The following is a 27,414-nucleotide window of genomic DNA, read 5'->3' as shown; positions in this document are numbered from 1 at the left end:
ATTTGTTATTAGTTCTTGAAATTTCACTGCAAAATGCACATTGGGAGATAGTGCTTAAATCCCCAGGCCAATATCTTTATTTTATGATTAAGGAATTTAGAAAGACTGTAACTTGCAAATGTTTTGTACGGAAAAGTTATCAACCCTTCCTGAACAAAAATATCACTTTTTTTATGCTTTGAAATTGCAGATCAATTCCCTTTTGCAGGGAAGAATTCTCTCATTTTGTGCACTTGTCCCTAAAATATAGGAGCTGCTTAAAAATAATTCACCTACATTGGAAGCCTGTGATCCCAGCTTAAATCTAGGCCCATCTCAGATCACCCCCTTCAGTCAGCCAGTGCCTGGTGGTGTGAGCTTGTGTGTGACTCCGCCATTTACACACAGTGGGTAGGTGTGAAGAGGCCTGGCACACAGCCATGTCAGGGCTAAAAGGAGCTTAGAGATCATCAGCCCTGATGCCTTCACTTTATAGCAATAAGGGAACTGTTGCTTCAAGAGGGAAGTTGGCATCCCCTAAAAGACAGTTCATTCGTAGCCAAGCCAAGACTTACCTGAATCTCTCCTGACTGCCTCTCCCGCCTCCTCTACATTCACCTTCCCCACGATTACGCAAACCTGCTCCCTGACCTGCAGACTAGAAAACTGGACTCGGCCGGCAGAAGCACTTGCTTACCTAAGAGTATGCCGAAGCCAATTTACTGTTAATGCCGAGTTGCTTTATTCTAAGTGCAAAGGTGAAATGATTTCCACTCCTGACAGCTCTGGAAGAATAACGGGAGCATGGAGAAACACTGTCTTTGCCGATGCCCCAACTCAGTCTTCTCCTCTGTACAGATCCATCAAGTTCCAGGTAACTCTCCTGCGATGTGCATAAGGTTAAGGATTTAGCTAAAGATGAAAAGGATATCATTTAAAAGCAAAAGCTATGAAGAATTCAATACAAATGTCCTAGGAGCTTACAGCTCTCTCTGTATGTGGCGGTAGATTTTAGCATTGAAATTTGATTTTTTTTCCACTTTGGGTTTTTATTTTATATCCATCACTTGACAAGGATTAGCTCCTTCTCTTCATTCACCCCCTGGGAGCATTTAAATGATACTTTGTTCTTGAAAATGAGCATTTTTACTTTTAGCTATTGATTTCAGAGTTCTGTGAACTTTCCCTTGAAGTCATTTCCTCAGACCCCTCTACAAGCTCAGGGACTCTCATCCCTATTCCACATAGGGTCACATTTCAGCAGATCTTCTGCCCTCCTGGTCCTCCTGGTGCCTGACCCCCAGGAAATAAGGAGCATGTTGCATTGAGATAGCCATTATGTATCTCCACTCACCAGAAACACCATCGCCAGGTGGCAGGGATACAGGATGACAAGAAAACAATCCCATCTTTCATTTCCCAGCTTCTGTCACCCTCACCCTCCAACCTGAAAACGGACCAGAAAAATCCAGTGAGAAAAGGTTAGAGAGCCTCTGTACCAAGGTGACGAGGAATCGCAAAGTCCCACTGTTGCCTGCCTGGAGAGAAAGCGTTCGAGTGAAAGAGAATAAATCGTATTCACCAAGCAAATCATTCATCTTGACTGTTTAGGGCAATTCCCTTTTGATATTTTTGTTTTCTGTAAGCTTGGCCTAGCCTTTAAAAAAAAAAAAGAACTGTCATTTCTATTCAATTAACTGCTTCTCCCTCTGACTTTAAATCAAGGGCAGTGTCTGTTCAATTTAATTACTTTCCAAAGAGGCTGTGTGGTAAAGCAGCCACCACGAAAGCAAAAGAGCCATATGGTGCTTTACAAGGCAAGAATTCGATATAATTTAAGGATATTCTCCTAACAGGAAATGCAATAAAGCTGATTTCCCCCCTGCTGTTTTTCTAGCCACTTGACATATAATATGTTTGTAGGTCAAGATTTCAGCTGAACAATTCAAAGCAAGTAAAATGAGGAGAGTGTCATTTACCTATGGAAGGTCTACAAAAGAGAATCATTGAAGGCCTTGCTGTCCCAACTGTTCTGATTCTGTGTAAAAAGTGACCTTTTTATTTAAGAAGAGTGCTTATTTTTGTTATGTACATGCACAAAATTTTCAGATATAATGGCATTAATAATCGCTTCACTTTTACACTGTTGGTGGGAATGTAAATTAGTTCAACCATTGTGGAAGACAATGTGGAGATTCCTCAAAGATCTAGAACCAGAAATACCTTTTGACCCAGCAATCCCATTACTGGATATATGCCCAAAGGAATATAAATCATTCTATTACAAAGATACATGCTTGCATAAGTATCTTTATGCATATATTCACAATAGCAAAGACATGGAATCAATCCAAATGCTCATCAACAATAGACTGGATAAAGAAAGTGTGGTACATATACATCATGGAATACTATGCAGCCATAAAAAGGAATAAGATCATATCCTTTGTAGGGACATGGATGAAGCTGGAAGCCATTATCCTCAGCAAACTAACACAAGAACAGAATACCAAACACCACATGTTCTCACTTATAAGTGGGAACTGAACAACGAGAACACATGGACACAGGGAGGGGAAAAACACACATTGGGGCCTGTCTGGGGCTGGGTTGGTGGGAGGGAGAGCATTAGGAAAAATAGCTAATGCACGCCAGGCTTAATACCTAGGTGATGGGTTGATAGGTGCAGCAAACCACCATGGCACAGGTTTACCTGTGTAACAAACCTGCACATCCTACACATGTACCCCAGAACTTAAAATAAATTTTTTTAAAGGCTGGGGACCCAAATGTCACTTTAAGTAATAAACAGAATACCTTTTGGTTTAAACAAGAATTGCTTCAACATTACGAAACAAGATTAGGCCAGAATTGTGACGCTGAAGGGGAAAAATTGCAGAAATATAGTATGGCCAGAACACCAACACCCTAATTCTAAGCTTGACTTGGACACCAACGAGCTGTGGAACGCTGAGCAAGTGGCTTTGCTTCTCTGTGTCTGTGTTACCATCTGTGAAAAGAGGGACCTCCATTAAATCAACACTAGGACTGTGTCTGTAACATTCATTAAGACTATCGGATGACAGCACGGCACCTACCAACTGCCAGTTACAGTCTAAAATGAAGCACTCCCCTCCCCCCAGCAGAAGAATCAGCATGAGGACAGCTTCAAGCAATGACATAAACCTAGAGTATCCACAAAGACGTAACTTAGAGGGAAGCCACCTGAGAAGGAGTTGCTCGCTCTGTGGCTAGACTCTGGGGTGCAGTGGCATGATCTCAGCTCACTGCAACCTCCGACTCCCCAATTCAAGTGATTCTCCCACCTCAGCCTCCCAAGTAGCTGGGATTACAGGCACACACCACCATGCCCAGCTAATCTTTGTATTTTTAGTAGAAACGGGGTTTCACCATGTTGGACAGGATGGTCTCAATCTCCTGACCTCATGATCCACCTGCTTCAGCCTCCCAAAGTGCTGGGATTGCAGGCATGAACTACTGCAACCGGCCAGAGTGGCTTTTTTTAATTAATGGTATCATAGGCTCCAGAAAAATGCCGGTCAAAAGATGAAATGGAATGTTAAGGCATAAGGAATTGCACTTTTAACTGTTAATTTACATGGTGTAATCGGATATGCTGGGATTCAATATATTCTGTCCTTGGGTAAAATTTTTCATTTATGTACACTGTACATAATACAAAATTTGTATTACATAATTTGTAACAAGGTACATCATTTCACCCAAGTTATCTATAGTCTTATGTAGAATCCTCAGTTTGTTCTGTCTACATTAGATAACTACTTAAGATTATAGGAAGCAAGTGAGAATCAAAGAAATATACACACGTTTTTAGTAGAAAATTCCCCTTGCAGTATACCAGCCAAAAATGATGGATTATCTAGTAAATCAAAAATTAATTAGATAGTTTCAAATTACTCAGTAGGTCTTTTCCATGTCTTCATATATGTTCACCCCTGAATAAAAATGTCACCCTTTTATTCAAATGATAATGATGTGTTGAATGATAATGATGTGTTTTGTGAGTTCAACACAAAAGTGATCCACCACTTAGGTGTAAAATCCCAAGACAGATTATGCTCTTTAGGCTTAGGTTAAGTTTGAATTAATCAAAATCTTAGGCATGTTCTGTGTAATAATATATATATATATATATATATTTAATGTAAATGACTCAAGGGGACCTTAATCTATGGATTCTTAGTCTTTCCAGGTCTCAAGTTCTGTCCATCATTTTTTCTTCATGTTGGTATATTATTGTATGAATTTGATTCAAAGGCTGGGTAAACCATGCTCTTGCCCATTTTCTGTGTGGCTCTGTTCTTAGCTGTCATTAGCCTTTATTAGCCAGGCACAGTGGTTTACACCTATAATCCCAGCACTTCAGGAAAGCAAGGTGGGTGGATTGCTTGAGCCCAGGAGTTCGAGACCAGCCTGGGTAACATAGTGACACTCTGTCTCTCAAAATGAAGACAAACTAGCTGGGCATCATGGTGCACATCTGTAGTCCTAGCTACTCAGGAGGCTGAGGTGGAAGGATCACTTGAGTCCAGGAGGTCAAGGCTGCAGTGAGTCATGATTGCACCACTGCACTCCAGCCTGGGGGGAAAAAAAGCCTTGGTTTAACTCATTAAATGAAGATGAGGTAAGGGCATGAGATAGAGAGAAATCTTTGTAAAATGAATCAGTTGGGCTGGGGGCGGTGGCTCATGCCTGTAATCCCAGCATTTTGGGAGGCCGAGGCAGGTGGATCACCAGAGGTCAGGAGTTCAAGACCAGCATGGCCAACATGGTGCAACCCCGTCTCTACTAAAAGTACAAAAATTAGCCAAGTATGTTGCCAGGCACCTGTAATCACAGCTACTCAGGTGGCTGAGGCAGGAAAATCGTTTAAATCTGGGAGGCAGAGGTTGCAGTGAGCCAAGATAGCGCCACTGCACTCCAGCCTGGATGACAAGAGCAAGACTCCATCTCAAAAAAAAAAAAAGAATCAGTTGATAGTACAGCCTTCCAACAGAACAGTAAATAATTTAAGACACTATCCAAACACCTCCTGGAAAAGATGTTCTACTACCTACTCCAATTTTAAACAATTTTGATAATATAAAACAAAATAGCAAATTTGAGTCTTTGTTGTTGTTATTAGAGATAGGGTCTTGCTCTGTTGCCCAGGCTGGAGTACAGTGGCACAATCATAGCTCACTACAGCCTCAAATTCTTTGGCTTAAGGGAGCCTCCCACTTCAGCCTCCAAAGTAATTGGGACTGCAGGCTCACACAACCATACCTGGCTAAATTATTTTTACTTTTTGTAGAGACAGGGTCTCAATATATTGCCCAGGCTGGTCTTAAACTCCTGGGCTCAAGCAATCCTCCCCACTTGGCCTCCCAAAGTGCTTGGATTACAGGTGTGAGCCACCGCACCTGGCCAAATTTGAGTCTTTTATACAGTTATTTCCCATGAATGGCAGATAACTGTAACTTTTATGTATGTGATTGCTCTAAATTCACAACATGTATTTAGGCTCTGTAAATCAAATATGGATTTTCTCTTTGCCTAAATGCATCAACCAAATGCCAGTGGAAAATATCAACCAATTAATTAATCAAAAACGTATCTTGTCAGTGCTGCTCTGGGCACTATCATATTTGGTCTATATCCAAGCAGGTTTATTATATATTTGAAGATATAGGGCTAAAATACTTTTTTTAATTATACATATTATATTCATAATGATATGCACCTATGACACAGAGTGCAAGAGTTTAGAAGGGAAAAAGAATAAGTGCACATGAAAAGAGATCACATGATGTGTGTTCATGCCATGGAAACTTTTTATTGTATATTTAATATAGTTTTATGTTTTCATAAAATAGGCTTTATATAGCACTTGCTATATAAAGGAGCCCTGTCACTTGACATGCATCTTCAGAGAAGACTCCAAAAGATCAAAAGAAGGTAGATTTTTATCCTAGGTGAAGATACTTAACAGTAAAGTCGACTAAGGCTTGTCTCTTAACTGGATAGAACAGCCAAAGCAAAGGACAGTCTATGTGAGACCAAGGCTGATGAATGACTAGAAAGAGAAGACAAATCCCAATGGGGCTTTGGGCACTGGGTTTGCTACCATCTCAGATTTGGGGTCCATTTCCAGAATAAGAATTTAGAGCTGAGAAAGAAAGAGTTGTTTTTGTCCAGTCTGAAGGTAAGATTACATTAAATCATGACTAACAGCATGACAAAATTTGATTACAAAAGTAGACATTTTGAGTTTAAGTTTATTTTACATAGTTATTATGCATTATGTGTTTGTGTGTGTGTGTGTGTATGCTTAAAAAAAAAAAAAAAAAGGAAAAGGCTGGGTGTGGTGGCTCAGGCCTGTAATCCCAGCACTTTGGCAGGCTGAGGTGGGCGGATCACTTGAGGTCAGGAGTTTGAGACCAGCTTGGGCAACCTGGTGAAACCCTGTCTTTACTAAAAAATACCAAAAAATTACCTGGGTATGGAAATGCATGCCTGTAGTCCCAGCTACTTGGGAGGCTAAGGCAGAAGAATTGCTTGAACCTGGGAGGCAGAGGTTGCAATGAACTGAGATCATGCCCCTGTGCTCCAGCCTGGGTGATAGAGTGAGACTCTGACTCAAAAAACAAATAAAAAGAAAAAGAAGGAACAGAAATTGTAGCATTAAATGTAGACTACCCCAGACCTAGATCTACTAGGAGAATCTTCTTTTTGATTTTTCAAGACATGATCTCCCTGTCACCCAGTCTCAGTGCAGTGGCACAATCACAGCTCACTGCAGCCTCCACCTCCTGGGCTCAAGCCATCCTCCCACCTCAGCCTCCTGAGTAACCAGGACCACAGGCATGCATACCACATCTGGCTAATTTTTTATTTTTTGTAGAGACAGGGTCTCACTATGTTGCCCAAGCTGGTCTCAAACTCCTGGAAGCAAGCAATCCTCTTGCTCCAGCCTCCCAAAATGCTGGGATTACAAGTGCGAGCCACCGTGCCTGGCCAAACGGGAGAATCTGTACAATCAGGAGCACGTGCTCAAAAGCATCTCCTGCATTCTGTTAACCCGATTTCTTTGTCCTGGGTAATAGCCCCCCAAATACTGAATTTACCGAAATGTATAAAAGTGACCAAAATGAATGTGAAGTTGTTGCCCTTGTAATTACCAGATTTTAAAGTCCAAATAGTGAATCAGCACAAGACAGAGCATTTCCTGGTATAACCAGGTATAAACTCTCCACCAGGCAGTCCCAGAGAGCTCCTGGCCAGAGGCCCCTCCCCATGCACTCCCACTTCCCCCACCCGTGGCCCGCCCCTCACCTTCCACTGCGTCCAGCTTGCAGGAGCTGTCCCTGCATTGGTCCAGCCAGGGCTGTAACCTAATGCTATGAATTCTCATGGGAGACAGCTCTGCTCTGTAGCTGCCCACATGTTCTACACGATCGCAACAGGAGGTACCGCACTTCTCATCCATTTTTCATGTTGCATCAGCTTCACGTGACAAAATAATTTGCTGTTGATGTGGGGTTTTATTACATTCCCCTTCCCAAGACGTATCCATTTTTTCTGCTTCTAAATATTACTTCAGCGAATGTGCATTGTACATGAAATCAGCCTATCTTGCCCACGCTGTGTTTTTGCCATTTACCCTTCCACAAAACATGATTATTACATTTAATCCTATCCTCAGGGCCACTACTTTACATTTCCTTTCAAAATTCTCAAAGTGACTCAAAGTTTGCTGGTGCTCCTGATCTGTGTAAGACCTTGAGCCGTCTTTGTCCTCAGCGCCCATTTCTGTATTCCACTATGCCCAGTCACTTTTGACATACTGGTTCAAGTCATTTACCTGTAGATTAATTCAAAAGACTAAAAATACCATTGGAATCCCAAGCTTTTTCTGCTAGTTATACTTGCGGGGTTTTCGTTTTGTTGTGTTTTGCTTTGGTTTCTTGCCACTCACTACAAAGTGGAAATCTGGACAAATTCCTTTTAATGCATTTTCTTTATTGCTCATCTTACGTAAATCAGTTGCCCTTAACCTAGATACTAGCTGCCAAATGATTACAAAGAGGTTAATGCGTTACCTTTGAAAGAAGAAAATTATTTTTCTTTCTCTAGACCCACCATGTTTTTCTAGTGGCCAAGACACATTAGAAAGCTTCTCGATAAGAGGATTTTGTATTAGAAATATCTATTTATATACCTATTTCTACCACTAGGCATGACACGTGATTGGCCTTAGTCCATGGTGGATGAATGAACGACATTCCCTGCACTCTCACCACTGAATGTCATGTGACCAGCCATGAACCATAAACCTGAACTTTGAGCAACTCAGTGGCATCCTACAATGATCTTTGGCCCTTATATTTATGAGTTTGTTTGTTTGGTTCAAAACCATAAAGACACTAAGAGCTTCTTTGTCTAAGCTTTATATATAACAGAGGAATCTGCAGGAAAGGTAAGAACAGAAAGTTGGCATTTTGATTTTAAAAATTGGAAGGCACCTTGGATTTCTTCAAGGGAGCAGCATGGGGTGAACACTTGGCTGCTATTTACATGTACCCGGATGGCAGGCCTCCTGCAGCCCTGCAGTGTGTCTTCCATGCCATCCTCAGGGGACAGGAAAACATGAGAATCATCACTGGTGTCCCACACAGATTATCATCAGGGTATTGACACTCCTCACTGTCCAGAGTCCATAATGAGCCACTGCTCTGCAAAACAGAACTACTCTTTACTGATTCTGATGCTAAAAACCTCTAGCCCTGCTCCCTTCCCTGAACCAAATTCATATAAATGTCTAGCAGCTTTTTACAGAAACATTCAGGTGGCTGCAAGTTGTAGTATAGTTGTCCGGTTTATGCATTGCACAAGGCGGCTGACACAGGGGAAAGTGCAGTCTGAGGTTCAGCCTGTGTTTTGTTTGCCAAGCCCTGAGCCTTGGCACTGGTATGTGTCCATGTGGAAGAAGAGACGCTTTTTCCCCACAAAAAGGTGTAGTCTCCTTGCCAAGCCATGTGCCTGTAGGCCCAAGGATGCCTAGGGGTGGCTCCTTGTTCTAAATTGACTGTCCAGAAGAGAACCTTGCTCTAGTTCACACACAGGTTCAGTATAGGCAAGTGGAAGCCTGGGATGGTCATTCAAAGTGTGTGCATGTAGCCGGGTGTGGTGGCTCACACCTGTAATCCTAACACTTTGGGAGGCCGAGGCGGGCAGATCACTTGAGTTCCAGAGTTCGGAAACAGCCTGGCCAACATGGTTAAACCTTGTCTCTAATAAAACTGCAAAAAAATTAGCCAGGCATCATGGTGGATGCCTGCAATCCCAGCTACTTGGGAGGCTGAGGTAGGAGAATTGCTTGAACCTGGGAGGTGGCTGTTGCAGTCAGCTGAGATCACAGCACTGCACTCCAGCCTAGGTGGCAGAGCAAGACTCCATCAAAAAACAAAAAGTGTATGCATGTGTGTCTGTGTGCATGTGTGTGTGCATGCATGTGTGTGTGCATGCACGTGTGTGCATGCGTGTGCGTGCATGCGTGTGAGTGTGCGTGCATGTATGTCATGGTGGGGGTGCTGCCCAGGGGTACTGTGCACGTGAGCCCACCACTTCATTCCTTCGCACTGTGTCAAGGGCACAGCCTTATTTCCTCAGCCTTGTCTTGGGCATCACACACACATGTTCTCAAGGTCATCAGAGAATATTCATGCCCTAACTCTCCTCTTTTTCTTTCCAGATTTCTCTTCTCATAAACTCCACCCCATCTGAAGTCCCTTTTCCCTTGTGCCCCGCGATGCACCAACTCTACCTGGAAAAGGATAGAGTGCTAAGTTCCTGCTCCCTCCTTGCATCTCGCATATTCCAAGATTGCAGGTATTTGCTGAATGCCAGTAGCATTCTACTAGCAATCCACTGATGCATAATGAATTACCAAAACTTAGCAGCTTGAAACGGCAAAGATTTTTCTCAAAATGAACAAGTTCTCTGTGGGTCTAGAATCCAGGAGTGGATGAGCTGGGTCACTCATGAAGTTGGAATCAATCAACCAGGACGCAGTCATGGGACAGTTCAACAGCGTCCCCCAAGCTCCCCCACATGGCATTGGCTCTAAGTTCCTCTCTGGCTGTTGGTTTGAGGCCTTAGTGTCTTCCCACCAAGGCCTCTCCCTAGAGTGGCAGCCAGCTTACCCAGAAGCCAGGGACCCAAGAGGGATGGAGAGGCAATGAGTGGAGAATGCTCAAGGTAGAAGCCCAAGTCTTTTATAACCTAATCTCAGAAATGGCACATCACTTCGCCAAACACTGTTGGTCTTGCAGACCAGCCCTGATACAATGGGCAGCAGGGGCCCCTGGGGGCCACCTTGAAGCCTGGCTACTACAGAGTCATTCTCAGCCCATGCCTGCTAGCTCACCAGGGCAGGAAGGCAGAGGCAGGCAGTGAGCCCACATTCTTCAACTAGGTGTTTACAACACTATGAAGCAAATCCCAGTTTTCTTTTCATTTTGTTTTGTTTGTTTGTTTATTTGTTTGTTGCTCGTTTTGGAAATGGGGTCTCACTCTGTCACCCAGGCTGGAATATGGTAGCATGATCATAGCTGACTACATCCTCGACTTCCCAGGCTCAAGCAATCCTCCTGCCTCAGCCTCCCAAGTAGCTGGGACTACAGGCGTGCACCACCACGCCCAGATTGTTTTTGTTCTCATTTTTCAGATGAGAAAACAAACTCTAGGAATGAAATAATTCATCCACAGACCCAAAACTAATAGTAGACAGAATCCATTCCATCCTTTCCTAAGAACAATGTCTCACCTTTGGAATATTTTTCTCTGCCCTCCTGCCCACCCTTGGTACGTTTACCTGGGTTATCATCCTACTCAAAATAGTTCCATCTTTCAGTTGAATAGAAGAGAGGATCCCATCTCCTCATAATGGCATTCAAACTCTTCTACAGTTTTGCTAGAACCTACCTGTGACAATTGATCTTGTGTGTCCACTTCGCCTGGCCATGGTGTCTGGATATTCAGTCAAATAATATTCTGGGTGCTTCTGGGAGGGTGTTTTGGAGTGAGATTAATAGTTAAATCAGTGGACTTTGATTAAAGCAGATCACCCTCCCTAATGTGGGTGGGCCTCATCTGATCAGTTGAAGACCAGAATAGAACAAAACGGCTGAACTTGCTCAAGCAAGAGGAGCTTCTCCACAGACACCTTCAGACTGCATCTGCAGCAGGAGGTCTTCCTGGTTTCCCAGCAGACAGCCTTCATGCTCAAATGACAGCTCTTTCATGAGTCTCCAGCCTGCAGACCTCCATCATCAGATTTTGGACTCACAAGACATCCACAATCACTTGAGCCAACACACACACTCTCACACTCACACTCACACACACTCACACTCACACACACACACTCACACTTACACACACATTCTCCAAGTTCTGCTTCTCCAAGAACTGTGACTAATATACTCCTTTCTAGCCTTTCTTTTTACCATGATGCCCATCACCATCTCCTCAGCATCACAGTTGCTGCCCACACACTCACACGCATGGCCACGAGCATACACTCCCACACTCAGGTTCACCCACCCAGGACACTCAGCATTTCCCCAGCATGTCCTGCATCTTCCCATTTCCATGTCTTTGCTCAAACAGCTATGACCTCTCTCATAAATGCCCTCTCTCCTGCCCCCACCCAGTCTGTTCCACACCTATAATCTCACCGTTCTTTGTTGTACATCCTCCACTACAGCATTTATCATTGGGTTCTCCAGTATAAAAGTTAATATTGGCTGGGAACAGTGGCTTGTGCCTGTAATCTCGACACTTTGGGAGGCTGGGGCAGGAGGATTGCTTGAGTCCAGGAGTTTGAGACCAGTCTGGGCAATATAGCAAGACCCAATCTCTAAAAAAAATTCTTAATTAACTGGGTGTGGTGGTGCATGACTCTAGTCCCAGCTACTTGGGAGGCGGAGGCAGGAGGATTGCTTGAGCCTAAGAGTTCAAGGCTGCAGTGAGCTGTGGTCACACCACTGCACTCCAGCCTGGGCAAGAGAGTAAGACCCTGTCTGCAAAAGTAAAATTTTTTTAAAAGTTTTAATGCCTATCTCCAATACTAGATTTGGAGCTTCTGAAGGGCAGGAATGATGCCATTCATCTGTCTTCAGCACACCCCAGTCACAAGTACAGTGCTTTACTCACGAGGACTAAGTATCAATAAATATTTTCAGAACTGAACTCTTCATCAATACTCACTACGTGTTGAAATCTATAGAATCACATCTCATTGTATCCAGGGCAAAATTACACACACACACACACACACACACACACATATAGTATATACATATATAAAGTTATTTATATACATATTATATATACATATATAAAGTTATATATGTATCGAGTGGGACAGATATGCTAATAAATATTTTTTGAAATAATACAGTAAAAGCTCTTGGAGAGGTATTATGTCCTATAATTGCCACTATTTAAAAATGAAATGGGTACACGCTGGAAACATGGTGTGCTCATCTCCTAAAATGGCTCACTTGCTGAAAAGAACTAAAATTCTGCATGAAAAGAAATGTCATCTCCTTAAAAGAATCAATGAGCTGGCAAATCCGTATGGGGTAAAGGGTATAGGAGATGAAGGCCAGGACCTGCCCAAGGTGGGCACTTTCTCATCTACAGCCCCAGAGCAGGGTCTAGGAAGAACAGGAATGCCAGACCCTGAGTTCTCATGACAGGCTAGCCCCAGTGTGGATTTGTAGCTTGAATTTATTGTATCTAAATATTGAGACAGAGAGAGAGAGGAATAAAATTTTTTTAAATACCTCATATTGAGAATGTATTTAAAGTAATCCCAAGATCAATGAAGTACAGTAAGCATATATAAATACTCTCTGAAGAGACTCTGCTTCACCCCCCACATCAAAGAATTACCAAAAATAAAATTCCATGGACCATGAGCAGCTCAGAGGGAAACAGTCACTAAACACTTGATGGAGAAACAGAAGACACAGCAGTCAGAAGAAAAAGATTGTGGAAGTTTTCAGATATTGGAATTATCAGAAGCAGAATATTAAATAATTAAGTTTACTATGTCTAATTAACAAAGGACAAAATTGAAAATATTTGGAGGGCCTAAAAATGTATAAAGAATTATTACACAGATTTGAATAATTAAATAAACCTGTTAAAAATAAAAATAAGAATAATTAAAATTAAAACAAAAGCAGGTATAAGAACAGATTAGACACAGGTGAAGAAAGAATTAATGAACTGAAGGATGATTCTGAAGAAATTATTCAGACTGAAGCAAGAGAGAGAAAGTTACAGAGACAAGAAAGAGAGAATAAGAAAGATGGGGATAAGACAGAAGACTAATAATGCTCCCAATTTTTAGGGTGTAATCAGAGTTCTAGAGGAAGAAAGAAAAGTAATGTAGAAGACACAATATTTAAAAGAGATAATTGAGAAGAACTTTACAGAACTGATAATAGACATCACTCCAATTCAAGAAGACAAGAGAATCTAAAGCAAGATACATAAAATGAAATCCACAGCTAGACATCATAGTGAATGTGCAAAATATCCAAGAAAAAGATTTTTAAAGTAGCCAAAAAGAAATGACAGATAATCCTCAAGGGAGTGACAAACTAACGGCTAGCTTCTCAACTGCAGCAAGAGAAGACATTGAAATTACATCCTTGATGTGCTGGGGGAAAAGAAAAGACTATTAACTTAGAATTCTATACCCAGCAAAAATATCGTCCAAGAATGAGGACAAAACAAAGACATTTTCAGACATGCAAAACCAGAGTCTGCCACCAACAGACCCTACAAAAAAAAATCTAAAGGTTGTACTTCAGGAAAAAGAAAAGTAATTCCAGACTGCAAGAGAGAATCTCTAAGCTTCAAGATGGAATATATTATAATGTGGGAAATCGAAACTAAGACTGCATCAGGCAATTAAAATGTCCTGAGAGGTTTAAAAAATAGAATTAAAATACAAAACAATGATATCAGATAAATTAGGAGAAATATAATTGCAGTTACTGTGTTCTAAGTGTCTTTGAGAGGAAAATGAAGTATCATTTAACTTAGGCATTGTTAAACTAATAAGCATGTTTTAATTTCTAGGCTAGTGACAAAATGGAAATAATATATACAAATTCCAGGTAAAGGAAAAAACAGAATGAGAAAAAAGGCAAGAAATAAGAGAAAGAAGGGACAAACAGAAAATAAAAAGTACTATAAAAGATTTAAACACATATACATGGGCAATTACATTTATAATTCATAGACTAAATGCTTCTCATTAAAAGACAAAGATTGGTAGACCAGTGATATGGTTTGGCTCTGTGTCCCCACTCAAATCTCACCTTGAATTGTAATAATCCCCACATGTCAAGGGCAGGGCCAGGTGGAGATAATTGAATCATGGAGCCAATTTCCCCCATACTGTTCCTGTGGCACCTAATAAGTCTTATGAGATCTGATGGGTTTATAAATCGGAGTTCACCTGCACAAGCTGTCTTGCCTGCTGCCATGTAAGACATGTCTTGCTTCCCTTTTGCCTTCTGCCATGATTGTGAGGCCTCCCAGCCATGTGGAACTGTGAGTCAATTAAACCTCTTTCCTTTATAAATTACCCAGTCTCTGATATGCCTTTATTAGCAGCATAAGAACAGACTAATTCAAGCAGATAAAATGAAATGAAATTTGACCATAAGCTTTTTGCAAACTGCACATCTAAAACAAGATAAAGAGAGGTGAAAAATAAAGGGATGGAAAAGAATATGCATTTAAGTATTGGCCAAAAGAAAAGTATATGGTATAAGATATATTAATCTCAGCTATTTAATTTTTGAAAGATCTCTTCATAAATATGAGAAAATAAAGTCACAAAGAAGATATAATAATTGCATATCTGTTTGTATCTCATAGCACAGTCTTAAAATACATAATGCAGAAACTGACAAAATTGTAAGAAAAAACAATCTAGAATCATAGTGAAAGATTTTTCACACAACTCATTCAATAACTGATATATCTAGCACATAAAAATAAGAAAGAATAAGAAAGTTTTGAACAACATAATAAACAAGTCTTACCTAATAGACACATGTAGGACCCTTCACCCAGTTACCGTGGAATACATGTTCTTTGCAAGCTTGTGCACAGATTGACCATATGCCGAGCTATAAAGCAAGTTTCAGCAAGTTTCAAAGATTATCATAGAGATTCTCATTATCTCACCACAATGTAATTAAGCTACAAGTCAAAAATGAAAAGTTAACTAGAAAACTCTTGGGTATTTGGAAATTAAGAAATGCACTATACACAAATGCCAATTCCAGGTTGATTAAAATACCTAAATTTATAAGGCAAAACTATACAACTTGTAAAAGGAAAAATAAGCAAATATCTTAATGACCTCAAGGTAGAAAATACTTTTTAAAACATGACATATAAAAACAAACCATAAAAAATATGGTTGTTAAATTCAACCACACTGCAATGAAGAACTTCAGTCCATCAGAAGACACCATACAGAGTGAAAAGACTAAGAATAAAGATCTTTGAAATATCAGCTGGGCTCAGTGGCTCATGCCTGTAATCCCAACGCTTTGGGAGTCTGAGGCTGGCAGATCACTTGAGCCCAGGTGTTTGAGACCAGCCTGGGCGACATGATGAAACCCCATCTCTACAAAAAAATACAAAAATCACCCAGGCGTGGTGGCACACACCTGTAGTCCCAGCTACTCAGGAGAATAATTTGTGCCTGGGAGGCAGAGGTTGCAGCGAGCCAAGATCATGCCACTGCACTCCAGCCTGGGCAACAGAGCGAGACCCTATCTCCATAAATAAACTAAATAAATAAATTTTACATAATTTCCATGTGTCCTGAAATATTCTCTCTCAAAAAAAAAAAACGTGATATGCACTATCATGAGAAAGGTGATGTGGTTAGAAACAGGGAGGAGGAGTGAGAAGCAATAAAGTTATAGATAAGCTCTGAAGGCTAAGCCAACAGGATCTGCTGACAGTTTAAATGTGGATGCGGGAGAAAGAAAAAAGTCAAGGATAACTCCATGATTTTTGACCTATGCAAAGGTAGAATTAGCATCCACCAAGGAGCCATGAGTGGGGCTACAGCTGGGTTGTGTTTGGAGGAGTTAGCCTTGGATAGAAGTTTGTGATGATCGTGAGACAGTCAGGTAGAGAAGTCGAGTTGGCAACTGAAAATATGAGTCTGGAGTTCATGAGACAGATCTGTGCTAGGGGTATAAATGAATTTTGGCCTAAGAAATGAAAATAGTAGCATTTCCATGAGCTGAGATGAGGAAGGTTGTAGTGGGAGTAGGTTTGGAGAGGTGATCATTTGGATGTCAGTTTTAGACAGGTTAAATTTGAAAACCCAAGTGGGAATCTTGAGGAAGCAGGTCAAAATATGAGTTTAGAGTTCAAAAGAGAGGTCCAGTCTGGAGTTGTAAATTTTGGAGTCACCAGTTTCTAGATGATGCTTAAGTGCATGAGGCAAGATGAATCACTAAGGCACAAGTATGGATGGAGAAAATAAGGGGCCAGGCACAGTGGCTCACACTTGTAATCCCAGCACTTTGGGAGACTGAGGTGGGCAGATCACTTGAGGTCAGGAGTTCGAGACCAGCCTGGCCAACATGGTGAAACTCTGTCTCTACTAAAAATACAAAAATTAGCCAGGCATGGTGATGGGTGCCTGTAACCCCGGCTGCTCGGGAGGCTGAGGCATGAGAATCGCTTGAACTTGGGAAGTGGAGGTTTCGGTGAGCCGAGGTCGTGCTGTTGCACCCAAGCCTGGGTGACAAAGCAAGACTCCGCCTCAAAAAAAAAAAAAAAAGAGAGAGAGAGAGAACATAAGGGGCCAAGAGAAGAGCCTTAGGGCATCCCAACATGAAGAAGCCAGGGAGGTGGGGTAGAAGAAGAGCCAGAGTAGGACACCATGCAGGAGGCCAAGAGTAAAAGCATGTCCAGGAGTGATCCACTGTGCCAAAAGCCATCAGCCATGATGAAAATGTCTTCACAACAATTACAAAATATTTGGGGCGAGTCATTGAAGACAACACCAAATATTAAAATCCCAAACCTAGGCTATTTCATTCATTTTTTCTAAGTTTTAGTTTAAGTTCAGGGGTACAAGTACAGGTTTGTTAGGTAAACTTGTGTCTCAGGGGGTTGTTGTACAGATTATTTTATCACCCAGGTATTAAGCCTAGTACCCATTAGTTATTTTTCCTGATCCTCTCCTTCCTCCCAACTTCTACTCTCCAACAGGTCCCAGTGTGTGTTGTTCCCCTCTATGCGTCCATGTGTTCTCATCATTTAGCCCCCACTTATAAGGGAGAACATGCAGTATTTGGTTTTCTGTTTCTGTGTTAGTTTGCTAAGGATAATGGCCTCCAGTTTCATCCATGTTCCTGCAAAGGACATAATCTCATTCTTTTTTATGGCTGCATAGTATTCCATGGTATATATGTACCACATTTTTTTATCCAGTCTATCACTGATTGGCATTTAGTTTGCTATTGTGAATAATGCTGCAATGAACATATGTATGATTGTGTCTGTATGATAGAATGATTCATATTCCTTTGGGTATATACATTCTTTACATTGAACTTCTTAGTCTCATTCTTAATGATTCCATAAAGTCCACTGCTCTGTAAAAGTTGGTTCAGTATTTAAATATAAATCTAATCAGTCAAACACCCAGAGTGATTAACAGAGAATAATTAAGGTTGCCAAGCACAAAAAAGATCCAGATACTATCCAAAGGCCTGAACCGAGAAGATACAAAAGGAAGGGAATTGCAAACTACTTGTTGAAAAAACGTCTCCTATTCGTCTGTTTAGCATCTACTTGATAGTGAATGTACTCTCCTTTGAGAAGATTTTAACATTGCATTTCAGTAGGAATACCCTTAAAAGCAGCATTAATACCTATGATTCAGGAAGACCTTTTTCAGAAATACCCAGAGCAATGAACCATTGTCTCTCTTCTCCCTAAGAGTCTCCCCTCCTCCTCATCTTCGGTCCCAGAGAGTATTTTCCCAAGCCAGCTTAGGGAGCAGGACTTTGCTACCTTGACAAAAATATTCCATTACCTTTAGGTGACCTTTCTCTGAGACTCAGAAATTGAGTGCTTCAACTGTAGGTCAGGCACAGGATGACTTTACTAGTGCTCCCTGAAAGACAGGGCTGATGAATGGCATTTGAACCCTGCTTCCCTAATCCTTCAGGCAGAATTAGAGGCTCTCCGTAAGGGTAATCCTGAATGATTCATGGTGCCTGCTTCAGCACAGTCACACATCATAGAAATACAAATTGACAGTTCGCACACATTGGCCTCATGGTGGTATTTACTTAAAATCCTCTCAAGTACACTTCCAATGACTGTTGTGGGGACAGCTCTCTCTGGAAGGCTAACAAACAAAGAAGCACTAACTTGTCATATCTGGCCACCAGACTTGCAGGTGCACAGGAGCCTTTGGAATATTCTGCTCTTTTTGTGCCACTTGGCACTTACCTCTCATTGGTTCAGGCAATTGGTTTGTTGGTTGACTGCAAGGATAATCCTTTAAAAAACAAAGAAACAAAAAAGGTAGTAAAACTGAGACCTTTGGATAACCCCTTTGGCTTGTCCTGGAGTTTAAGTTGGACCAAAAAAATCAAGGCAATGAAACAGTAACAGAGGTGAGGAAGAGATGGACTGTTAATAACATGGGAGGAGAAAACAGGACACACTTGAGTGTGTTCATAAGCTCTTGTTGGTGAATCTGTAAAGAGTAAAATTGAGATAGAGATCCCCAAGAAAACATATAAGTCCATTATTTTTCAAAAAAGAAAAGGTGGGTAGTATTGAAAAACCAATAGGCAAGTGTCAACTGTTTAATATCTACATTTGTGTTCTCCTCACCAGCAACCCCACTGCTTCTGGGTCAAAAACAGAGGCTGGGTGCGGTGGCTTATGCCTGTAATCCCAGCACTTTGGGAGGCCGAGGCAGGCAGATCATGAGGTCAAGAGATCAAGACCATCCTGGCCAACATGGTGAAACCCCATTTCTACTAAAAGTACAAAAATTAGCTGGGCATGGTGGTACGCACCCGTAGTCCCAGCTACTTGGGAAGCTGAGACAGAACCCGGGAGGCAGAGGTTGCAGTGAGCTGACATTGCGCCACTGCACTCTAGCCTAGCAACAGAGCGAGACTCCTTGTATTTAAAAAAAAAAAAAAAAAAAGGAAAGAAAGAAAGAAACACTTGTCACTTTGAGAAATATTAAGGTCGCCCACACAGTCGCATCCTGATGGCTAACCCTGGATCCAGGAAGAAAAAGAAAGATACAGTATTTAGAAAATCATGGAAGTCATGTCAATAAAATCAGAACCCACTCAGAACTGCATCAGTATCAGCTTTTGCATAGACCCCTTTGGTGGTTAAACACGGTGAGAAATAATATTTTTAATGGCAGTGGGGAGCTTCATTTCCATTGTGTGTACGCCCATCATGTGTTGACTTGAAAGAACTCCCCTTCTCCTTTCTGGCTTTCTCTGACATTCACCCTACAGCTGGCCCCTTTCCTGTCCAGAGTATGAAGCTGCATCCTTTGGAGATTAAGGAGGAAAGAAAACACCACACAAGCAGATCAAGAGGTGGCAAGGCTCCAGGCAAAAACCTACAGGAGAGAAACTGTATTCTTCAAGTCGCCTGTCTTTACCCTTTGTGCATGACCTAATTAGGTTTTTGCCCTTTTCAAATTTTTTTTTTTTACAGGTGTGTCCAGTTTAATAAAAAGGGAAAACGTCATCAGGTGGACACATCCAATCCTTGTCATTCATAACCCCAACCTTCAGATCCTTTCTACCCTCATAAGTTTGAATACAGTCAAGGTAAGTTGGGTCAGAAACTGTTGTTGATTATGATTAAAAAGAGATATAAAACTCAGCACCTCCTTCATTGAAAATAAAGGTTGAGAAACTTGATAAGAAAAAACTAAAATATTCTTATAGCTGCCTGGGAAGATCTTAATCCTTCCACATAGACAGATATCCTCGTATCCACAGGAGCCCATTTGGACTAAAGCCAAACTGAGTCCCTTACTCATTCCCTCTCCGGCTCTTCTTGTGGCTCTTCTTAGACCTTTTGGGAGATTTTGAGTAGCTCCTGTGTCTGTGACTACGGTGAGGATCTGGGGACTTGGAACGGGATCTGTGCCGCCGGTCTCGGGATCTGCTGCGGTGATGTCTTGGACCCTTGCTCGGATGCCTTTCTCGGCGGGAGAAGGGGCTTCTACTTTTGGGAGATCGATTCCGCCTTCTGGGAGACAGACTCCTACTCCTTCTGTAGCACAGTGTGGGAGATGGACGGGGCTTGTCCAAGTCTCCGTAGCTTCTCCGGAGGCGATCAGGTGATGGCACTCTTTCCAACTTCTCATCCTCCTCTTCTTCCTCTTCACTGGACTCCACATCATCTATGTCCTCTTCCAGAGCACTAACTCAAGGCTCCAGTTGCTCAGTTTCCTCTAATACCTAGCGTTTCTGTAGCCGGGGCAGAGTGATATCACAGACTCTCACACTGTGCACCAGTTCATCAATAAACTCATCTACATGCATCAGTTCAAACCCCCATTTCTGTTCTGGCTCTTGATTTTTCGATAGTCATTGTACAAAGGCTCCAAGTACTTGTAGCAATCAATTGCAGTGCCCATCAGCCTCATGTAAAGTGCCCCCAACATGTGGACATACTTGAAATCTTCATTTTCTATAAACTCTGCAGTGATACCTTTCTCGGATTGAATCTGAAGCATCTTCAAGATTAAACACAGAAAGGGTGTTGGTTTTATGTTGCCACCATATTCGCCACCCACAAACATTAACTCCATGGCGTTATCGACTACAAGTTCAGCCATAAGTCCAAAGCACTCCTCTTTCCAGTGCTTGGACTCACAGATTCGCATTCGAATGATCTTCCCCACCAGATATTGAGGGTTGGTGCCGCGGACGCTGTGCGCATCCTTCAGTGTACGGTTAGCCATTTTAGAATGCCTTCGATTCTATTTGCGTCGGGTCCTTTAATGTGTTACATCCAGGTTCAGAAAAAATAAATAAATAAATAAATAAATAAATAAATAAATAAATAACCACCTAGAGGGATGGAGAAAGGTGGAAGAAGTTTCACTAAACAGCTTAGGAGACCATCTTGAAACTGGAAACACTGCAGCGCTCAAATTCTTAAATAAATTCCACTTACTTTTTTTTAAGTAGGCACAATATTTTTATTACGGTTAACTGGTGATCAATCGTTTTTACCATGTAGATAGCCCCTTTGGCTTAGACACACTGTCCTGAAGTTTAGATGGTAGGAAAAAATCCAGGCAATGGAACAGTAACAAAGATGGGGAAAAGATGGACTACTAATAACACAGCAAAAGAAAGCCGGACATGCTTGAAAGTGCTGATAAGCACTAAGATGTGTTGTTGACAGAGCGCCACATCAGTGCTCTACAATCTGCTTACTGCACTCTGATGATTGCATAAACAACCTTCTAAGTGACCTGGTGGTGGGCATCAGGGCTTTCGGGGGTTCTGATTGGTTGGATGTGCTTATGGTTTGATTGGTCTGAAGTTGCACATGTCCAGGGATAAAGAGTATAGGTTAGAGTGGCTGTTCTCACAGAAGAAGTTACCAAATGCTATGGTTTGAATCTATGTCCCCACCCAAATTTCATCTCAACGTGTGATCCCCAGTGTTGGAGGTGTTGGAGATGGGGTCCGGTGGGAGGTAATTGGATCGTGGGGTGGGATTTGTCAGGAATGGTTTAGCACCATCTCACTGGTGCTGTTCTCCTAATAGTGAATTCTCGCGAGATCTGGTTGTTTAGAAGTGTGTGGCACCTCGTCCCTCTCTCTCTTGCTGTTCTGGCCATGAGAAGTGCCTGCTGCCCCTTCACCTTCCGCCATGATTGGAATTTTCCTGAGGCAGAAGCTGCCATGCTTCCTGTACAGCCCGTGGAGCCAGGAGCCAATAAAACCTTTTTCTTTATAAATGACCTAGTCTCAGGTATTTCTTTATAGCAATGTGAGAATGAACTAATACACCAAAGTTTTATATTTTATATCAAACATCTATGCCTCAACCATGGCTCTTTACAAGGTAAAGGTTTCTGAGTCATCCACAGAGCTGACCTCATCCTGAGCCAGAAGCATGTCTAAAGTACTTCTTCTTAAAGCTGAGGTATCTGATATTTACTCTTCAAAACCTACTCTACTTTGTGTTTACTCCTCAAAACCTACTTGTAAAGTGAACCCTCAAAGGTTACACAAGCCCACTCTCTGGCCCTTGAGCCCTTTATGACTAATGCCATACAGCTATAATTAAGCTGTGCTATAATCAACAAGCTGACAATTCAGCCAAAACTTATCCCTGGCAAGAGCTTCTGTATGGCACAGGAAGTGCCATCTGGATGACACAGGAAGTGCCCTTGATTGATGGGTGAAGAAGGATTTGTGGAAAGAAAGACAAGGGAGTAGAAGATGGTGTCATGGAAAAGGTAAAATATGGACTGTGATGTTTCCCCTGTCTCCCCGCTACTAAGTTATAAAGTGTGCGTTCGTGTGTTCAAAGTAACCTAGGGATTCCTAGATATAACTGAGGGTGTGCCAGAGATGGGATGACTGACTGTCAGATTTGGAAAGAATGCAAGTAAGAGCAGCAGAGGTGAGCTCTCAGGAAAGTGAGACCCGGAAGTTTAATTGCCCGTGAAAGAAACCAGAGTAGAAGAGCTAAACCAAGAAGTTTCCAGCAGCTTCGTTCGCCATGAGCGAGGTCACCAACAAAAACGGGGAATTTGATGACAGAGGGGATTTTGGCTCCCAGGTGCCACTGCCTGACTTTATGTTAATTTTATGTACATTTTCTTCCCCTCATGTTTCTGACAAAGGCTAACAAAATAATTGTTTTCACCACACCAGTCCCATATCTCAGATAGTTCTAGAGGCATTGGGAAAAGAGAGGGAATAGGGCAAGGAAGATTTCAACACTGAAAACCCAGAACCAACACAAATACTAAAGTCAATGTTTTCCTGGCCAGGATTTAGTCTTGATCTTGTTAGAAGATCTTGTAGTACAGTAGACAAATTTGGCCACCTCAGCCTTTTTAATAATTTGAACCTTTGAGTTTACTTTGGGAAAATACCAACTGTCACCATTCTCAAAGTGTTCATGACAACATTCCATCCTTTAACTACAGTCCTTCATCTGCAGTCTTTTGGTGTCTTTATTTTTCAAGCAGACAAAGCGTGGTACTCAGAAGAGCAGAATCATTTGCAGTTCAATGGAAATGTACAAATAATTAAAAGACATTTTAAAGCTCCACGGGAAATGCTACAGTGGAGCTCAAATAGTGTTTTACTTCCTATATATCTCGGAATATGAGTCAACCCAGCCTAGAGGTTGACCTGAATTCTGGCATAATTACCTATATAAAAAGTTGGATTTCATCCCAAACTCAATAAATTGCCCTTCTGATGGCAGCTGCTGCCTTCCAAGGCTGGGAGATCTCTAATTCCCACTAGAGAGACAGCCCTGGCAGGAATCAAGGCTGGCTGAGGTCATCTCTGCCCAGTCATTCCTGACTAAACACAGCATGGAACTGGAGGAAAGAACGGGGCTGAGGGTGCACCCAGGAGAGCAGTCAGCGTTCACCAGGGCTCTGTGTTGCACACTCTAACTAGCCTAAGCAGAAAATTTATTAAAGACTATTAGGAAGCTCACACAAGTTCCTGGAGAGCCAGAGAATTAGGCTCAAAAGGTAACCAGCCAAGAGCAGTCCTCAAATTGTCCTCCCTCTGCAAACTGCTGAAGGTACCGTCCCAGAACACTGGGTCCACCACAGCACTTTCCAGAGAGGCTCAGTGTCTCTACCACCCTCCCCAGCAAAACGGAAACTGTGCCCATCTCCAGCCTCTGAGACTCACATCTAAATCCAAGCCTCACGTGTGGCCATGTCCAGCTGATAAAATCCTAGCTGGAAAGGAGCTGAGAGGGCATCTTCTGGCTTCTTTCCACCTGTTCACCTCGAGGCAGAGATCATGGTGTGGGAAAGTACAAAAAATTAAACAGACAGACATGATAGACAGATATAGAAGATAGATAGACAGAGAGAGAGAGAGAGAGAGATGATAAATAGATAGATATAGATATTAGATAGATATATAACATATATCTGTGCTAAAAGGGAATGAGCTCTCAAGCCACAAAAAGATATAGAGATGTAGGTACATTTTCATTCTTGCAAATTCATGGTAATATTGTGAATAAATTAACATAAGAATCCATCTTCTCCCTCTGCAATTTTAATTCACACTTATTTGTTCAAATAATCATTTCCTGTAAGAATGTAAAATCCTAGTGGGTAGGAATCTTTGGAGTTTTTTGTGAAGCTTTCCAAACCTAACAGCACAATTCCAAGCACACAGATGTGCAACAAATATCTGTTGCAGATATTCTTTTAATTTAGATTTAATTTAGATTGATTTCATGTCTACTAGACATTGAGGATACAAAGGTAAACAAGACAGAGTCCCAGAATCTAACCTGCTTTTGGTGGCTACTGAACCTGGGTCTCACGGGAAGGATAGTAGTCACCAAGACCCTGTGAGAGGCACTTTGACAGCAGAAGGACAGGATGGAAAGTTCAGAAGAAGGTCCCTATTCTGGTGTTGGTTAGAGAGTGTCTGTAAGGACTTCCCAGTGAGGTAGACAGAAGGGTACAGGGGAGCCCAGGCAAATGGAGCAGTGAGAGAGAGAGTCTGGGACCACAGTCATTCAATGTGGGCATCATTCAACACCCACCTCTGAGGAAGGTGCATTCAGCCTTTGGGTTTCCACCCAGCTACACGGTCACACCAAGGACAGGGAGTGAAAAAAGAGCCAAGTTGTGATGGAAATCAAAAATTATCATTATTATTAACTTCTCAAAATGCTGCTTTGGAAGAAGTTGTCATTTTCAGCAAATCAGTCACAGACAGTATCACCTCTACAGAGTCAGTGTCAGACAGCGTCACTTCTACCTGGCTCGGTAACATGATGGACAGTGTCACCTCTACCAGTTCAGCACCGGACAGTATCACCTCTCTCTGGACTGGTGTTGGACAGTATCACCTCTACATGGGTCAGTGTTGGACAGTGTCACCTCTACCTGGGTTGGTGTTGGACCGTGTCACCTCTACTGGGGTCAGTATTGTATAGTGTAACCTCTACCTGAGTTTGTGTTAAATAGTGTCACCTCTACCTGAGTCAGTGTTGGACAGTGTCACCTCTACCTTGCTCACTGTTGGACAGTGTCACCTCTACCCTGAGTTGGTGTTGAACAGTCTCACCTTTGTATTGCTGAGCTGGCATTGGATATTGTCACCTCTACTCTGAGTTGGTGTTGGACTGTGTCACCTTTGGATTGCTGAGCTGGCATTGGATAGTGTCACCTCTACCTGAGTTGGTGTTGGACTGTGTCATCTTTAGATCGCTGGAGCATTGGTTGGAACTCCCTTTCCCATTACACATGGGCAAACTGTGGTCAAAAATACTTTTTCAATAAGAAAACAAAAAGTCCAGTTTTTAAATGGGCAAAAAATCTGGATAGACACATCACTGAAGAAGAGCTACAGATGTCAAATAAGCATATGAAAAGATACTCCTCATCAAATATCATCAGGCATATGCAAATTAAACAACAGTGAGTTCCCACTGCACACCTATTACACCTACTAGGATGGCCAAAATCCAGAACACTGACAACACGAAATGCAGGAGGGGACGTGGAGCAACAGGATCTCTCCATCCATGGCTGGTGGGAATGCAAAATGGTGCAGCCCCTTTGGGAGACAGTTTGGTGATCTCTTACACAACTAAACCTACTCTTACCATATGACCCAGCAATTGTGCTCCTCGGTATTTGTCCAAAGGAGTTGAAAACTGGCATCTACCCAGAAATCTGCAGATGGATGTTTACAGCAGCTTTATTCATGATTGCCGAAATCTGTAAGCAGCCAAGATGTCCTGCAGTAGGTGAGTGGATAAATATACTGTGGTACATCCAAACAAAGGAATATTATTCGGCTTGAAAAAGATACGAGCTATCAAACCCCAAAAGTCGTGGAGGAAACTTAAATGCATATTACTTAGTGAAGGACGCCAGTCTTTAAAAGGCTACATATTATATGATTCCAATTATATGACATTCTGGAAAAGACAAAGCTATAGAGACAGTGAAAAGATCAGTGGTAGGTCAGTCACAGTGGCTCATGCCTGTAATCCCAGCGCTTTGGGAGGCTGAGGCAGGAGGACTGCTAGAATACAGAAGTTTAAGAACAGCCTGCACAACATAGCAAGACCCCGTCTCTACTGAAAATCAAAAAAGCTAAAGCAGGAGGATTGCTTGAGCCCAGGAGTTCAAGACTGCAGTGAGCTATGATCACACCATTGCATTACAGCCTGGGCAACAGAGTGAGACCCTGTCTCAAAAAAAAAATCAGTGATTGCCAGGGACTTGGGGAGAGGGAGGGATGAATAATCTACGCACACAGGATTTTTAGGCCAATGAAACCATTCTGTATGATGCTACAATGGTGGATGCATGCATGTCATTATGTGTTTGTGAAAACCCATAGAATGTACAACACCAAGAGTGAGGCCTCAAGTTAACTCTGGAAAAGTGGGGTTTTTGTTGTTGTTTATTTCTTTGTTTGTTTTTGAGACAGAGTCTCACTCTGTCACCCCAGGCTGGAATGCAGTGGTGTGATCTCGGCTCACTGCAACCTCTGCCTCCCAGGTTCAAGCGATTCTCCTGCCTCAGCCTTCCAAGTAGCTGGGATTACAGGTGCACACCGCCATGCCTGGCTAATTTTTGTATTTTTAGTAGAGACAGGGTTTCACCATGTTAGCCAGGCTGGTCTCCAACTCCTGAGTTTGTGATCCGCTGGCCTCGGTCTCCCAACGTGGTGGGATTACAGGCGTGAGCCACCGCGACGGGTGGAAAAAGTAATTTTCATGTACTCTTTTATATTCATTCATTCAATCAGCAGCTATAGAGGCACTCACACAATCCCATCAAGCAGTGTGGCTCACCATTTTTAATCCATGCCCCTTTTGATACTGTCATTTAAAGGGTCCAAATAAATGTCATACTAACCTAAAAAATAAACAGGAGGTAATTTTTTTTTTTTTTTTTTTTTGAGACAGAGTCTTGCTCTGCCACCCAGGTCGGAGAGCAGTGGCACAATCTCGGCTCATTGAAACCTCCACGCCAGGGTTCAAGCAATTCTCCTGCCTCAGCCTCCCGAGTAGCTGGGATTA

The 27,414-nt window shown here is 42.1% G+C and overlaps 2 long non-coding RNA genes and 1 pseudogene across 3 annotated transcripts in view; 1 reads left to right on the top strand and 2 right to left on the bottom strand.

Moving 5' to 3' along the window:
- The window catches only part of LOC107984205 (uncharacterized), a 36,994-nt gene extending 35,412 nt beyond the window's left edge, over window positions 1–1,582 (bottom strand). The window contains exons 1-2 of one of the 2 annotated variants that reach the window (XR_001747360.1): window positions 1,334–1,582; window positions 677–862 (exon numbers count right to left, since the gene is read on the bottom strand). This is a non-coding gene — a long non-coding RNA (uncharacterized LOC107984205). Of the gene's footprint in view, window positions 1–676; window positions 863–1,333 lie in introns of those variants that run through there. The other variant, XR_001747359.2, reaches the window with a different exon arrangement.
- Window positions 658–9,816, top strand: LOC107984206 (uncharacterized). The gene is made up of 3 exons (XR_001747361.2): window positions 658–853; window positions 8,238–8,479; window positions 9,755–9,816. It is a non-coding gene; the product is annotated as an uncharacterized LOC107984206 (long non-coding RNA).
- A 10,146-nt stretch (window positions 9,817–19,962) lies between these two features.
- Window positions 19,963–21,282, bottom strand: PRPF38AP1 (PRP38 domain containing A pseudogene 1; annotated as a pseudogene).

The sequence above is a fragment of the Homo sapiens genome, chromosome 10 (genome assembly GCF_000001405.40).
Source record: "Homo sapiens chromosome 10, GRCh38.p14 Primary Assembly".
In the NCBI taxonomy this organism is placed as follows: Eukaryota; Metazoa; Chordata; class Mammalia; order Primates; family Hominidae; genus Homo; species Homo sapiens.
The sequence above is the reverse complement of the archived record's forward strand: the minus strand, read 5'-3'. Positions and strand labels throughout refer to the sequence as shown.